This window comes from Homo sapiens, chromosome 4 (assembly GCF_000001405.40).
Source record: "Homo sapiens chromosome 4, GRCh38.p14 Primary Assembly".
Taxonomy (NCBI): domain Eukaryota; kingdom Metazoa; phylum Chordata; class Mammalia; order Primates; family Hominidae; genus Homo; species Homo sapiens.
In genome coordinates this window covers 85,252,081-85,269,880 of record NC_000004.12, presented here as the reverse complement: position 1 = coordinate 85,269,880, position 17,800 = coordinate 85,252,081, and positions in this window count along the sequence as shown.

Sequence of the window (17,800 nt, the reverse complement as noted above, 5' to 3'; positions counted from 1 at the left end):
CTACGTGGAACATTTCTAACAGGTATTCTCTCACTGTTCCAGCAATTTTCACACCTTTCCCAGTCCCATATAAACATCACTTTATAGCATTTGCATTCAATGTGATTTAATAGGAGAAGTAATTTATTCAAAATCAGTCTCCAACTGCAGAATAGTCAATTTACTTTGGAAGAATTAACAGTTAACTGTTTCAGAGGAATTTTCTTGCTCAGGCTTGTTAGAGAATCTAATCATATATGTGACTTATAAATTCAATTTCCTAAGGCTGGAATGGCACTGAGATTCCCTTGGGGTTTTGTTCATTTGTTTGTTTATACTGAAATCCATTGTGTGGTTTATGAGTGCCTAAAGTGAGTGAGAAGTCCTGACATTATTTGCAATTTGTATAACTGTGTCTGTCCACTAGATATTATGGCTTGATGCAGGTAGTAACAGCAATCCATTGCTCTAAGACTTCTAGATTCACAAGGTATTTAGTTCTCCCAGCTTTTCCATGATCTCTGGGAGGTCAAACAATCATTCTGGACTTGATTACAGATGTATCACATCAGAAATATGTATGTCAACAGTCCACTGCTCATTGTTATCAGTTTTCAGTTTCCACTGATGCACCTAGCCTGATGCTTACTCACATATTGCTAACTCATATTTTTCCAGATAGTTTAACACTGACCTTTCTATTCAAATCTGTCATAGTACCATGCTAAATATGATGCATAGCACTTAATGACACAGCGAAAACAGTCTGAAAGCGTATTGCCTTAGGTTCAACTATCTTGCCACCTTCCAGCCCTATATAGTCATTGCTTTATAGCACTTTCATACAACGTAATGTAATAACAGAGGTAACTTAATCAAACTCAGTCTCCAACTGCAGAATAGTCAATTTGCTTGTGAGAAATGAGCAATTAACACCTTTAAAGATGCTTACTTGTCCAGGCTTGTTAGAAGATCTAATTATGACATGCCTTATAAATTCAAGTTGACTACTTTGAATTGTAAGTTTTTCTCACTTTCACAATATATGTGATATAGTTATTAAGACTTTGAAAGAAAATATTTCAAGAAACCTAGGAATAAAATATAATTCATAATTTAAAAGATATATTTCTTTAGGTTTGTATTTTATTATTTTTATAATCTAATACATGTATATAACAAAATATATTATAATAGCAAAAAAATCTAGTCTTTTCACCCAAATCCTTTTTTCTGAGTCTCATTCTTTAGAAGTTACCTTGGTTTTTACATCTTCTGCTGATATCACCATAATTCTAAAGGATATGTTTATAACTAAATTCCTTGCTGTATTAAGCAGGGTTTCCCAGAGAAAGAGAGCCAATCGGCTGTATACATAAATATATTTATTGTAAGGAACTGGCTGATGCAATTATGACGGCTGACAAGTCCCAAGATGTGCAGGGTTGGTAAGCTGGGGGCTCACAAGCGCTGACGGCATAGCTCCAGTCTAAGGCCAATAGCCTCAAGACCCAGTACTAGCCAGTGTTTCAGTGTGAGTCCAAAGCAGAAAAAAGATAATGTCCCAGTCAAAAGCAATGAGGCAGAAGGAATTCTCTTTTACTCAGAGGAGGGTCAAGCTTTTTGTTCTATTTAGGCTTTTAACTGATTGGATAATGCCTAGATACATTAGGGAGAGCAACCTGCTTTCCTCAGCCTACAGATATACATGTTAATGTCATCCAGCGACACCCTCACAGAAACACCCAGAATAATGTTTGACCAAGTATTTGGACATCTCATGGCCTAGTCAACACAAAAAATTAACCATCACTCTTAGTTTATTGACTTTATCCATTTACTTTTTTTATGTACCAGTAATGATAACAATTGACACTACCAAGGAAGAATCAGTTCCCATATATAGCTCCCATGTTCCTCCCTTTCCTCCCACTACTTAGGTATATTGATTACATTTTTAATTTTTAGTTATTCCAGTAATTAACCCTATAGAGTTACATACTTCAATTTTTTTCTTGCTCTTTCAACTTTAGCTACTTTTTCTTAACATCCTACTATGCACTGCTACAATAATCCTTTCTCTGCACCTCCTGACACATCAGCTATATCATCAATTACATGGTCAAGGTTTACAACATTTAATCTCATTCTGGAAGTATAATTAAAATTTCAGTGCTTCACTTGTAAAATTTGAAACCAAGAAACAGCATTTTCATCATTATAATCATATAATTACTCTTAATTATAAAACTAATTAATTGGATAGACCTATAGAAAAGATAACATTCACTAAGCCCCTACTGCTATTAGGATATTATACACATCAAGATCAAATGGATTCTTTTTCTTTTTACTTCTCCAAGTGCCCAAATCATCTACAATTTTTATTTGTTACATATTTTGACCATGACTTTCTTATATATTTGTTTCTTTAAGTTAAATTTCTATTTACTCTTCACTTGTTGTAAGAAATAGTCACTATATTATTAAGAACTCCCAGTTTTTTAATCACATTATCTATTGGGCATATTATATCCTAGTTTCTGAAAGGTTTTTTTTTTTTTTTTTTTTTTTGAGACACGATCTCATTCTGGTAGCCCAGGCTGGAGTGCAGTGGTGCCATCTCGGCTCACTGCAGCCTCTAGTTCCCAGACTTAAGCCATCCCCCCACTTCAGCCTCCTGAGATGGGAATACAGGTGTGTGCCACCATGCCCAGCTAATTTTCTGTATTTTTAGTAGAGATGGAGTTTTGCTATGTTGCCTGGGCTGGTCTCGAACTCCTGGACTCAACCAATCTGCCCTCCTTGGCCTCATAGAGTACTGGGATTACAGACATGAGCCACCATGCACAGCCTTGAAAGGTATTCTTAAAGGAAGCTTCTGATTTCCTGTTCTAAATTGGACTAATTGTACTCTAAAATTGCCTGTACATCTGTCATCCTGAGATTTCTTTTTATTATACTCTTGAGTAGTTCCTTTGTTTCCTGGTACTACATACTCTTCCTTTTTCTTAGAATTCATTTTTTTTTCTTGCTCCTAGAATAATACTGAATTTCTTTCTGCCTGCACCTGAGGATAAGTGAAAAGTAGAAAGAATTTCTGAATTTTTGTATGTCATGGAACATTTTTATTATCCCCTTATCTTTGTTTGGCTCTGTATTGAATTTTAGATGCAAAATCATTCCATCAGAACTTTCAGTATATTATATCATTGATAAAACGGATCTGATGTTAATCTGGTTATTATTTTTTGTACATACTTGCTTTTATGCCTAGAAGTTTTAATTTTTATTCTTCTTGTTGAGAAATGTCATAGAAATATATATGTTTTTAAAATATATTCAATCTTATTGACCTCAGTAGACACTTTCAATCTGAAAAGATGTCTTTCCTCAAATTTAACAAATATTCTTCTATTTCTTATTTCTTCTCTTCCACTCTTTCCTCTTTTTAGATGCATGTTAAACTTCCCAGATTAATACTTATTGCCTCTGGAACCTGTCATTATATTTTCTATCTTTTCTTTATCTCCTGAGAAATTCATTGATTTTATTTTCCAAATTTTCTGTGGATTTTTTCACAGTCATATTTTTTGTTAGTCTGTAATCCTTTTTTATAAAATTGTTTTGGCTTTATGGGTATGTTGTCATCACAAATATCTCTAAAGATATAAATTATAATTCAAGAAGTACCTTTTTCTTTGGTTGGTTGGTTTTCAGCTCCCTGTGTTATTTGTGATTCTTCCTGATTTCAGCTTTCTACTTTTCTTTACCTTGGTCGTTTCCTTTTGTGTTATATTTCTTAAATATCTAGTGATACTTAGGTATTGGTTAATATTTTAAAATAAAACACCATTGATTTGTTTTGGCTCTGTCCCCACACAAATGTCATCTCAAATTGTAATCTCCATGTGTTGAGGGAAGGACCTGGTGGGAGGTGATTGGATCATGGGGGTGGTTTTCCCCATGCTGTTCTCATGATAGTGAGTTCTCATTGAGAGCCGATGGTTTTAAAGTGTGGCATTTCCCCCTTGCTTGCTCTCTCTCTCCTGCTGCCATGCAAGACATGCCTTGCTTTCCCTTCATCTTCCACCATGATTGTAAGCTTCTTGAGGCCTCCTCAGCCATACAGAACTGTGAGTCAATTAAACTTTTTTTTGTGGGGGGTTGGGTGTTGGGGGAGACGGAGTCTTGCTCTGTCTCCCAGGCTGGAGTGCAGTGGCGTGATCTCAGCTCACTGCAACCTCCATCTCCTGGGTTCAAGCAATTCTCCCACCTCAGCCTCTTGAGTAGCTGGGACTACAGGCGCCCACCGCCATGCCTGGATAATTTTTGTTTTTTTAGTAGAGACAGGGTTTCACCATATTGGCCAGGCTGGTCTCGAACTGCTGGTCTCATGCTTTTCCAGATAGTTTTACACTGACATTTTTATTCAAATCTGTCATAGTGCTATGCTAAATATGACGCATAATACTTAATGACACAGCAAAAACAGTCTGACCTTGTGATCCACCCTCCTCCCCTCCCAAAGTGCTGGGATTACAGGTGTAAGCCACCGTAGTCTGCCTAAACCTTTTCTTTATAAATTACCCAGTCTCAGGTAGTTTTTATAGTAGTGTGAAAACAGACTAATACAACCATATTGATTAATATATGTAGATAACATAGGTTTCTTCTGCTTTCCTGCAAATTTATTTTTCCAAACATCACTCTCACCTAATGAAAGTTAACTGCACTCACTGATTTGTAAGCTGACATGTCAACTAGAGAATTCATATTAGGGTCTAAGATTTGGGAGCAGACATACTGACTAGGATTCCCCCAAAATGTGAAAATAGAAAATATTTTATTCTGGTGACAGCAATTTCAACACTTAGAGCTGTGGCTGTGCCCAGGCAGATCACTCAATCTCTTTGGAAAGCAGTCTTTTTTTATATACTACCTCTGTCTTTTCCTCTCAACCTCATACTATGCTAAGCTAAAATATATGATATAATATAATACTTTGGTTTAAAAACCTTCTATTCACTTAAATATTTACATTGTTATAATTCCAAATATGCCTATTCTTTCTCTTTTAAAGGTTCCCCTTTCCTTGGGTATATACACAGGGCCCACAAATTTAAACTGGTACAAGCACATACAAGTACACAGAGGACTTCAATTATAAATTCAAAGAAACATGACCTAGTTTCCCATTAATTTATCTGTCAAGAATGCAATTTTTTTTTTTGAGATTGGTATCTCGCTTTCTCACCCAGGCTGGAGTGCAATGGCATGATCACGGCTCACTGCAACCTCCGCCCAATGGGTTCAAGCAATTCTCCTGCCTCAGTCTCCCAAGTAGCTAGGAATACAGGCACCCCCGACCATGCCTGGCTAATTTTTTGTATTTTTAGTAGAGACGGGGTTTCACCATATTGGCCAGGGTAGTCTCAAACTCCTGATCTCAGGTGATCCACCTGCCTCGGCCTCCTAAAGTGCTGGGATTACAGGTATGAGCCACCGCATCTGGCCAAGAATGCAATTCTTAACTTGTATGTTATGTAACTATTCAAAATACTTAGAAACCCTAAATCCTCAAAAATCTTTAGAAAGGTAAAGATTTCACATATCAACACACACACACATACACACAAATAGAAAGTAAAAGATCTTTAGAAAGAAAAAAATACAAAACCGAATTAAGAGAAAAACTTGTGCACACTAGTCCATCATTTTGTTTTAAGCTGAAAGCAGTATCAAAAAATTTCTTCCTTGCTGGCATGAAAACAGTAAGTCACTTTACTAGTTTTCATTACTGTTGGTACAGATAGCACAGTTGAGATGTAAAACTATGTAAAATCAGCATAAGTTTCAAGCATTTTTATTCTGAAGACTGATAAATTGACAATGTCAGCCCCTTCAGAGAAGTACTCAGTGTTACTAAAATGAGCACATACAGCTTGACTAGAGGAGTAGCAAGGAAAAGCAATATCTGTATTCGGCGTGGGTCTGCAGGGGGATTCCTTTGAAGAGGACTTTGTAAGTCACTTGACATTTTCTTTATGTAATGTCTTATAGTCCCCAGTGAACTTTCCAGGGCAGCTTGTCACCACCTGCCTCAGTCTGAGCATGTAAAGTGTAGAAATGAATTGACCATTCCAGGCATAGATTTTTTTCTGTCCGGTGCTTGAAAGATGAGGCACAGAGAAATCCCTCTCAGCTCTGAAAGTCTGTGTATCTACATTGAAAAACTCTGGCTCAAAACCAAGTGTTTAACTGGGAAAAAAGCAAAGGAAAGAATAGCAACAAATTATACAATTCCATATTGTACAAAGTGAACATCTTCAAATCCAAGCCATAATCCTAATCAATTCTACTGATTCTTTAGACATTTATTTAACACCTATTATTTGCAAAGCACTAGGGAAGGCATGGAGGGTGTGAAGGTGATTAATATACTGTTCGTATCCTCAGAAAGTTTATAATAAATAGAAGTTATAAAAGTCATTCCTACCCATAAATAGGGACTGCATGTGGTGAATATCAGATACATGAAAAGGGCTATGTATCAAGATTTGTTAATATCAAATTTCGGTGTAGATTTCCTGGGTGGGTGGGAATAATGGGAGTGAATGAGACCTAGAGACAGAAAAAGGCTAGTCCTAATAAAGAGGAATCCATGAAAGCAGAGGAAAGGTAAGCTCTTGGGACAAAATTACATAGCTCAAAGGCAAGAAAAAGGCACTAACAGTATTAAAGATTCACCTATATGCTCAGCATTAAGCACATTATTTTCTCAGATGGAAATTCTGTTATAAAGTCAAAAAAGTGCAATAGTAGGAGCCATTACTATATGTAATTAATTACCAACCCCATAGTTCAGTCAAAATAGGAGTAACAGGAACAAAGAAGAAATACAGCATCGCTTAAGGATTGAGAATGGAAAGCAACCTAAGTAGTTGCTGAAAGAATACTTGATACAAAAGTGAAGTATTGTGTGAAACTGAACATGGAAAGAGAAATATTTAGACAACAGGCTGACTGGCTGCTACGTTTGTTATGGTAGGTGAGGCAAGAATGATGTCTTAGAAGTGTATAGCCACTTCACTCTTAAAAGAGGGTATTTATTTTTTCAATCTGCTGGATCTCAAGATGAAGGCTCTAAAGGCACCCCTCTGTTACCATCTAATTTGCTGGGAGAAGAGAGCATGCAGATGACTTAGGGGACATTTGAAATAGCAAAGATAAGGATAGGCTAGGGCAAAGACAAGGAATGCCTCTGGGAGTGTGCAGGAAGGGAAAATTTACTTCCATTTATTAGGATCAGTGAATGTTGTAAGTTTAGGGGGCATTTGAGCTGGACCTTAAAGCCTGAGTTGGATTTCACAAGCAGAAGGGAAAACGGTAACAGGTAAACATAGAGCACATTTGAGGGGCAATGAGGAGTTTTATTGACTCCAGCAGAGACTATCTTTAAGAAAGTGGAAGGAGATGAAGTGATCATTTTATGGGGAACATTTTCTTCCTCTTCTACTTATTGAGAACTCAGCTGCCTGTGTTACTTGTGCTTCTTCCTGGTTTCAGCTTTCTATTTTTCTTTGTCATGGTCATTTCCTTTTGTGTGGCTTGTATTTCTTAAATATCTAGTGATACTTAGGTATTGGTTAATATTTTAAAATAAAACACCATTGATATGGTTTGGCTCTGTGTCCCCACCCAAATCTCATTTCAAATTGTAAACTCCATGTGTTAAGGGAGGGACCTGGTGGGAGGTGATTGGATCATGGGGGTTGTTCCCCCATGCTGTTAATGTATGCTAAGCATTTACATACATTAACTCACTTAATCCTCACAACAAATATAAATAACTGGTATGATTGTGCCCATTTTGCAAAGTGCAAACTCAACCTCAGAGAGACTGTGTAACTCACCCCAAGTTACCCACCTGGTAAGGAGTGAGTTCAGACACAAATCCAAGAAAAGAAACAAATTAAGGAAGAAAGTTTGAAACCTGTTGCAATCATCCAAGAAATACATCATTAGGGAAGGTGTGACTTAATACTTTAGAGGAGCAAATGTGAAAGATTTGTCTGGGAGACTTAGCAAAGTAGAATGTGTAGAGCTTGGTGACTGATTAGATGAAGAAATTGAGATGGTAAGCAAAATAAAATAAAGGAGAATTAGTAGCTAACAAGACTGAGATTATCAAATCATACTGTGCACGTGCATGCACACACACACACACACACACACACACCACGATTCTGTAAATAATCTATAGAGTGCCACCTAATAAGGAAAAAAAAAGGAACCTAGTCTCTATAAAAGAAGAATTTGTCTTCCATGAATCAGCTTTATCATGTACTGAATCATGTCTCTAAAAGTAAATACATATAATAAAAGCTCATTATACTCTTGGACTGTAACATAGATGAAAGTTCTGTCTTTATCATTAATGATATTGTGAACAAAATTCCCACCAACCTAAGCAGTATAATATATAATGACAAATAGGCAATGATTTCTTAAAGGTTAAGAGTTTCCTTTGTTTTTATTTGTGCCTGTTTTCATAAAATGGGATGTAAACAAAATGAAGTATTATATCATAGCTATAATCTTGCCAATGTTGTCTAATAGGCAGGGGTATAAAAGGAAGATGGCAGCTATTATCTTTTTGCCATGCAAATCCAATACCATTGGTACCTGGGTGCTGGAAAATTTAGAGAGCTAGTAGATATATGTAAATATTTGTGAGATGAGCAAACAATCAAATTAGCAATTTAAGAATTTTGACCATATGGTCATTGCCATAATGCCTGAGTGTAGCAGACATTACAGCAATTAACTGAAGTTCAATACTAAGAACACAATAAGGGATGAATGAAGGAAAGGAAAAGTATGGATAAAGGGAAGATTATGCTTATCTATATGGATATCTGTGTTTAATAAGGAGAATAACAGCTACCAAATGTCATGATTTGCTGGATAGTGGAAAGCCACAGGACTCAAATAGCTTTCCTAATGGCCTGCTAACAAAGTAGTGACACTAATGAATTTCTTTCTTAAGGGCTTTTTGTTTGTTTTATGTTTAATTAGAAACTTATTTAAACAAATAGTGCAAAGAAGGCAATTGTACATCATGTTAAAAACTCTGGAGGAAATAAATAAGTCACTGTGATTGGTTACAGTAGTATAGGTACAGTAGATCAGATACAGTAGTATAGGAATATTTCTCTGAGGAGAAGTCTTCTGAGCTAAGATCTAAGAACAGTAAGATGGAGGTTACCATGTGACAAGAGGAAGGAAAGCATCCCAGGCAGAAGGAAACACAAGCTTCACATTAGGAGGAACAAAAGATCTGAACACAGAGTGTTTGGGGTAGATCAGGAAGCTAAGAATGGAAAGATAGCTCTGGAATATATCATGGAGGGCCTTCCTGGCCAATAATTACTTGTTTTACCTTCTGCTCGGCTTGAACCTGAATGTGTAGCCATGCCTTCAGGCTCTAATATTCCCCAAGTATTTTTGCTTGCTTTCAATCTTTAACTATTGACCCCAGTGCATCTTCTCAGGCTCCCAACCTTATTAGGTCTCCCATTGTGACTCAACATTTCAGGCCCTGTGCTGAATTATTTATGGCCAACTCAGCATTACTACCACTCTCTTCTAAAATTTTATCTGCATTTCAGAGGGAAAGCTAGAAACCACATTTCCCAGAACACCCTTCCCTTCATGTTCCCCATTAGACCTGTCATTCACTGAGACTTAAGAAAGGACAGGCCATTCTTCTCCAGGGGCAGGTTCAGTCAGATGCTGTGAGCAGGTCACTGGTAAGATCTTGAGAAGTACTCATTTCCATGCTTCATGCTAAGATTGTCAGTGGCAGCTTCCCTGACTTTGCTCCTCCAGCTGTTCCAACAGCTGTATCAGCCTCAAATTCCTTATCCTAGAACTAACATATACTAAAACCTTTCAAACGTGGGCTATAGAGAGTAGCTTTTGCATTTAATATCAGGAAAACAAAGCCTCAAAAGATAGGATCTGGAATTGATTCTGTAAACTAATTAGATTAAAGGACAGAAATAATCTCATTGCCAGTAAAAAAAAAAAAAAAAATAGCTCATGGCATACATGTTTAAAATATGAAGTCTTACTGCCTGGGATCTAGTGCATTAAAATGTCAGAGTTTGGGGAACACAGATGTATTGATCTGGGTACTCTGAATAAAAAATCTGGATTCAATGTGTTAATTCAAGTGGCTAAAAAGTGTTTTCTCTTAGTTCACTTAGTTCATCTAAACATAGACTCAACACTGGTCTACATTAAATGATGAAACTAAGACGTGAGAACTTCATTGTATAGTGTAAGGGAAGGAATTCAATAGCTTAAAGGATATTGGAAGGAGTTATTACCTATTACATCACCTTCCTGTAAATATGTCACAGTGGGGATTCAAAGGATATTTCCCTCACTAAGGCATTTACAGACACAATTACTCCATCCCTTTCTTCTCCCACTTTACTCCTTTGACCACTATGACACTGTATGCTTATGATTATTCTTCCTGGTATTCCTTGCTTATTTCTCTTTCTCCACTCTGCCATAGTATTGGAGTTTTCAAGGGTCTATTTTTGGTTCTGTTTTGTTACCATTCTATAACCTTTCTCTGGATATTATCCATACCCACAGTCTTCTCTACAAACCATGTGTTACTGACTTCTAAGCAATATCTTCACCTCATATCTATCTCAGTAGTTCTTAAATATTTTCATCCCAGGAATTATTTATACTCTTAAGAATTACTGAGAATCCCAAAGAGCTGTTGTTTATGTGAGTTGTATCTGTACATATTTCTCATACTAGAGAATTAAAATGAGGAATTTTTTAAAAATACTATCTTAAAATATTAATTTATTTTATTATATTTCATAAGACATTAAATCATTCAAAAATAATAATGAATCTACTGTATACTAGCATAAATAACATGTTTTTATTTTTTAAAACTGTATTTTCCAAAATAAAAACAGTGAGAAGAATGGTATTGCTTTACTTTTTTGCAAATTTTCTTAATAGAAGACAAATGGATTACCATATCTTCTTAATTCAATTTGTTGTAATATGCTGTTTTGATTGAAGTACATTTAGAAATTCAACCTCACACAGATAAGTGGCTGGAAAAGGGAGAAGTATTTGAACAGCCATTTCATATAATTTTAATATTCTTCAATACTATATCAAAATTAAAAAAGGGTAAGTTTGTAAAGGTAAACTGCAATGTGAAATCTGAAATCATATCAATAACATTTCACAATCTGTTACATTAAAATTCATTCACCTCAGAATGTAGAAGACTTGAGAGAAAGTTACTCCCAACTTAATCATGAGAAAAGGTCAGATAAACCACAAATGGTAACTTTTTTGATCCTATTAGATAGCTAAGCTCAAAAGACAGCCAAGTAAGCTGAATTCCAAATAAAGACTAGTCCCTCTGAGACAGAATACACAAAGTGTCTTATCTGGGGCACCGGATGAGAAGAAGAGGTGGCCACTAAACACATGGATTAGAAGAAATCAACTGTTTAATTATTAAAAGTCAAGTGTGGGTTAGCATGTCAGTATGAAATACTGGGAACTTTGCCCTCACTTGTAAGCCTTCTTCCTTGGACTTCCTCTGGGTGCTTAGAAGAAAACATGGGGCAAGGCAGGGGATGAAAAAGAACCAACCTCAATGATGCAAGACTGTAGGGTATGGTCAGACGTTGCTAGGAGAAAATGTTAATTCCTTCTTGTGTCCTTGGACCCTTCTTTTCTAAGAAATAAAAGCCTTAAGCTGGAGATGAGGCAGCAATCACTGTAAGTTCCAGAGCACAGTTAACAACTCATTGCATCTGGGTCAAAGGTAAAAGGAAAAGCTCTTTCTGCTGGTGAAGGACAGAAAATCTTCCTGGTTCCAGGAATCTATATGCATACCAGGTGGAGGTCTGCCACTGCTGGAGTCCAAGGAGGTATCTCCTAGCCAACATGAACCACAGATCCAAGATTGTGGCTAGCTGTCACAGACAGGAGGGGCACAAATGCTGAGAAAGCTCTACCTCTAAGATCCAGGTATGCAAGCCCTGTATAAGACTGAAGCTGAACTAGGAAAACAAACTTCATCATAACCACCAGAAGCCTAGCATTATGTAACCAGTAAGAGCATGGAGAGAAACCTCCTCTGTACAGATATGCAGGGATATCTAAAAGCTGAAGGTGAAGCACAAACACTGAGAAAAAAACATTAGTACCCTAGCTTGCACACTAAGCTGAAAAGAAAAGCAACCTGGTACTAGAGAAATTCAAAGCCTATGGTGCTATGAAGATAACAATGGTAATGACAAACACTAAATCCAGCTTGACTCCTAAATAAATTGACTTAGCCCTTGTATTGAGAGTCCTGTGCCAAAATGACATGCACATTTCCAGGCACATGTCATTTATTTATCTCCATCTATACTATTTATCTCAGTCTCTACTGTTCTATACATAATGCCAAACATTTAATAAAAAATAATATAAGACACCAAAACACAAGGGGAAAAAAACTTAAGAGACATGAAGTTACATCAGCAAGGTGGTGAATAGAAAGCCCCAGGCCCTTCTTTTTCCCATGAAGACACTGGTTCAACAACAATGCACAGACCAATTCCTTTATGAGGAATCCAGAAGCAAGTTAAAAGCCTCCTGCATTGCAGGTGTATGAAACTATTTAATAGCCACATCAAAACTGGCAGGAAAATGTGTGACATCCTCTCAAAATAGTCCCTCCCCGCCGCACAGCACCACATTATTGGGAGGAAATTCTCATTTCTAATCCTCTCCCTGGAGACAGAAAGAGAAAGCTGGACTGTGAATACAACATTCTGACTTCTCTGGAGGACTGCCCAAGAGACTGACTTCTGTCTCACCTGTCATGGAGCAATAAGAGGACCCAGAATACTCTAAACTCCCAGGCCATGGACCGACCATGGACTGCTACTGGTCCGTGGCCTGTTAGGAATCAAGTTGACCAGCAGCAGGTGAGCAGTGGGCGACCGAGTGTTACTGCCTGAGCTCCATCTCCTGTCAGATCAGTGGTAGCATTAGATTCTCATAGGAGCATGAACCCTATTGTGAACTGCACATGTGAGGTGTCTAGGTGGCAGGGTCCACCATCCCCTCTTCAATCTGTGGAAAAAATTGTCTTCTATATAACTGGTCTCTGGTGCCAAAAAGGTTGGGGAACCCTGTTCCAAATGCGGGAGGCCTCTGAGAACAAAAGAGAGATGGGTGTTTTGCTGTTCCTCCAAAGGAGGAGGCCAATACGTGTCAGTGGTCTCTCTCTTGAGGAGAAAGAGTAAGGTAGAACATGCATCCAACATTGCAGCTTTTCAGAGGGCTGACTGAGGAACTGGTTTCTATCACACCTGTCTTCAGACAAGGATAGGACCTGACATTCTCTAGATACCCAGTGTCATTGAAAGCAGAAAAGAACTAGGCAGCACACTGCTACCTCAGAGGAATCATGGTAAACAGACAGATGCCAAAGGAAAAAAGTGATTCTGAGCTAAAAAACAAACAAACAAAAAAAACTGGAAAAGTTTTCCAATTAGGAATCTCCACACAAGTCCAGGGAGGACATCTACGTACAAAAGGTTTGAGGGGCCTCAGAATCTCTTGCCAGGGTAATTGGTAAAGTTCTTTTCCTATATGAAACCAGTCCATAAAGACTGGGAGAGGTGGCTTTTGTTTTCAAATGCATAGATCCAATACAAAGTTATAGGGGAAAAAACACACAGGGAAAATGTCCCAATCAAAGGAAGAAAATAAATCTCCAGAAACTGACCCTAAAGAAACATAGGTATAAGAACTACCATTATAAAGATGTTCAATGAGCTCAGAAAAAAAATGCATGAGTTAAATGAGAATTTCAACAAAGAGATAGAAAATGAAAAAAGAACAAAACAGAAATTTTAGAGCTTAAGAATGCAATAAGTAAACTGAAAATTTGCTAAAGGAGTTAGTTCAACAGTAGACTTGACCAAATTTGCTAAAGGAGTGAGTTCAACAGTAGACTTGACCAAGCAGAAGACTCAGCAAATTCGAAGATACGTCACTTGAAATTATCCAGTCAGAAGAGTAAAAAGAAAAAAATAATTTAAATTTGTAAAGAAAAGCTAAGAGACTTATGGGAGAGCCAAACAGATAACTATATGCATTATGAGACTGTCAGAAGAAAAAAGGGCAAAAAGCTTATTTAAATAAATAATGGCCCCAAATTCCCCAACTCTGGGGAAGAAATGGACATCCATGTTCAAGAAGCCCAATGAATCCCAAATAAGATGAACCTAAAGAAGTCCACACTGAGACATATTATAATCAACTTGTCAAAAGTTAATGAGAAAAAGAATTGTGAAAGCAACAACATAAAAGCAACTCGACTTGAACAAAGGAAGCTTTATAAGACCATCAGCAGATTTCTCAGCAGAAACCTTGCAGGCAAGGAGTGAAATGATAATTTCAAAGTTCTGAAAGAAAAATACTGTCAGCTCACGCTGGCAATCCCAGCACTTTCAGAGGCTGAGATGGGCAGATCAGGAGGTCAAGAAATCAAGACCATCCTGGCCAACATGGTGAAACCCCGTCTCTTCTAAAAATACAAAAATTAGCTGGGCATGGTGATGCACACCTGTAGTCCCAGCTACTCAGGAGGGTGAGGCAGGAGAATCGCTTGAACCAGAGAGGCGGAGGTTGTAATGAGCTGAGATCGTGCCACTGCACTCCAGCCTGGTGACAGAGCGAGACTCCTCTCAAAAAAAAGAAAAAAGAAAAAAACTGTCAACCAAAGTATGTATGTTTCATGTAAGCCCCACGATAAACACAAAGAAAAGACTTACAGAATATTTGCAAAGAAAATAAGAAAGGAACCAAAACATGAAAAAAATCAAGGAAATACAAAGGAGGATACCAAGAGAGAAAAAAAACAAAACAGCTACAAAACAGACAGAAAACAATGAACATATGATCCTAAATACCCTAAGTTGATAATTACACACTGTATGCATGTCAAAAATACTTACATGTACTCTATAAATATGTAAAATTTTATGTTTCAATAAAATAATTTTTAAAAGAAAAAATTAAGGTGCAAGTACATGGAAATATATCTAGTGCTTATGAATTTGAAGACATATTGTTAAAATGTCTGCACTCTCCAAAGTAATCCACATATTCAATGCAATCCCTATCAAAATCCCAATGGCATTGGGAACTAGCAAAACAATCTTAAAATTTATTTTGAAACACAAAAACCCCTATAAGCCAAAACAATTCTGGAGAAAAAGATCAAAATCAGAGGCATTACACACTGATTTTAAAACATATTGCAAAACTATAGTAATCAAAACAGCATGGTATGGTACTCTCGTAAAGTCAGATACACAGGCCAATAAAACAAAATAAAGAGCTCAGAAACAAAGCCAGCTATGTACAGTCAATTCATCTACAACAAAGATGGAAAGAATACACAGTGGGGAAAGGATAGTGTCTTCAAAAAATGGTGTTGGAAAAACTGGATATCCAAAAGAATGAAATTGGACCCTCACCTTACACCATATATTAAAAAATCAGGTCAAAATGGATTAAAGATTTAAACATAAGACTCAAAACTGGAAAACTCCTAGAAGAAAACAGAAAATGCTTTATGACATTGCTCTTGGCAATAACATCTTAGATATATACCAAAAGCACATACAAAATCACTTGACAGGTGGAATCACACCAAACTGAAAAGGTTTTATGTAGCAAAAGAAATAATCAACAGAGTGAAAAGGTAACCTACGGATTGGGAGAAAATATTTGCAAACCATATATCTGATAAGGGATTAATATCCACATTATATAAATAATTTTTACAACTTAACAGCAAAAAAAAGTAACGATTTTTAAAATAGACAAAGGAATAGACATTTCTCAGAAAAAGACATTTAAATGGCCTACAGGTACACTAAAAAGTGATCAACACCGCTAATCTCCAGGGAATCACCACAATGAGATATCACCTCACGTTAGGATGGCCAATATAAAAAAAAAAGGGAAAATAACAAGAGTTGGTGAGGATGTTAAGAAATTAGAACCCCTATGCATTCTTGGTGCAAACATAAAATGGTAGAGCCACCATGAAAAACAGTATGGAAGTTTCTCAAAAAATTCAAGATAGATTTACCACATGATCCAGCAACGCCACTTCTGAGTATTTATCCAAAAGAATTGAAATCAGGAACTTGAACTTGTGCACTCCTATGTTTATTGCAGCATTATTCACAACAGCCAAGAAGTAGAACCATCCTAAATATCCAATGATGTTAAAGGATAAAGAAAATGTGGCATATGGATACAATTTTGTTTGGCCATAAAAATAAGAAAATCTCTTTATATGTTACAACATGGGTAAGCCTTGGGAAAATTATGAGAAGTGGGATAAGACAGTGTCAGAAGGACAAATACTGCATAATTCCACTTATGAGTTATCTGAAGAAGTTAAATTCATAGAAACAGAGTAGAACGGTGTTTGCAAGGGGCTGAGGGAGGGAAAATGGAAGTTGCTGTTCAATGGGTATGATGTTTTAGTCATGCAAGATAAAAAGTTCTAGAGATTTGCCATCCAACATTGTACTTTTAATTAACAACACTGTACTGCGTACTATAAAAATGTGTTAAGAAGGTAGATTTCATAATGCATCTTTTTCTACAATTTTAAAAAGAGGTAAAACAATTAAGAAGCCCAAAGTCTGATGTCCCAGATATTGGAACTATCAGACAAGGACTATAAAATAACTGCAATCAATATGCTAAAGGATCAAATAAAAAGGTAAAAAGCATGCATAAATATATAAAATTTATCAGAAATATGGAAACTCTAAGAAAAAATCAAATGGAAATGTTGGAATATTTTTAACACAATATCAGAGATAAAGAATTCCACTGATAGGTCATAAGTAGACTTGACAGAGCTCATGAAATAACCAGTGAATTGAAAATCCATTGGTCTGTCTTATCTGATTTTGTAAATTTATAGATTGATCATTTAAAAATATAGGTTCACTTTGTTATACAGATCTTCTAAATGTTGGCACCCTTTATTATATAATAATTCTAATATACTTTTAATATTACCACCAATCTCATCACAAAAGCCTCCAATTATTGAAAAGCCATCAAGCTCATGGTGGTAAATATAAGTTTTTTAAAATTCTAATTTGTGCTTGAAAACTGAAGTTTTACCATCGGCAGAAAACATTCCTTTTCTCAGTGTGACAGCTCACTTTGTTGGTTTTCAAGAATATAACTGCCAAAAGCCCAATTCTGAATAACAATAGTTTTCATGTAAAAATGATGCTCTATTAAAAAAGTAGCCAATTAAGCTTGTAACTCAAACACAAGGGATTCTCCTCCAGACAAATAAGTAACTCAGTGCTCATACTTCCTATGTCACCGAATGGAATATGAAAAGATATGTATTAAAGGGTCAAAATGTAATGAACTTCATGATTTTTATTGCTTCATCAAGTACATGCTTAGCGAAACTGGGCATTTTTAAACTGCAAGTGCACAGCAGTAAAGACTACAATAATAACTAGTCACATCATTTGGCACCTTATTTATACTTATTCATACTACGGCCTTATCCATGCTATGGCATGAGCTATTTTATTTACCATGGCTTTTCCACTGTCAGTGCAAATATAAACACAGTTAAAAGACAATAATGCCTTATTATTATAAATATGCTTTTGGCCTCACAAACCCCTTGAAAGGA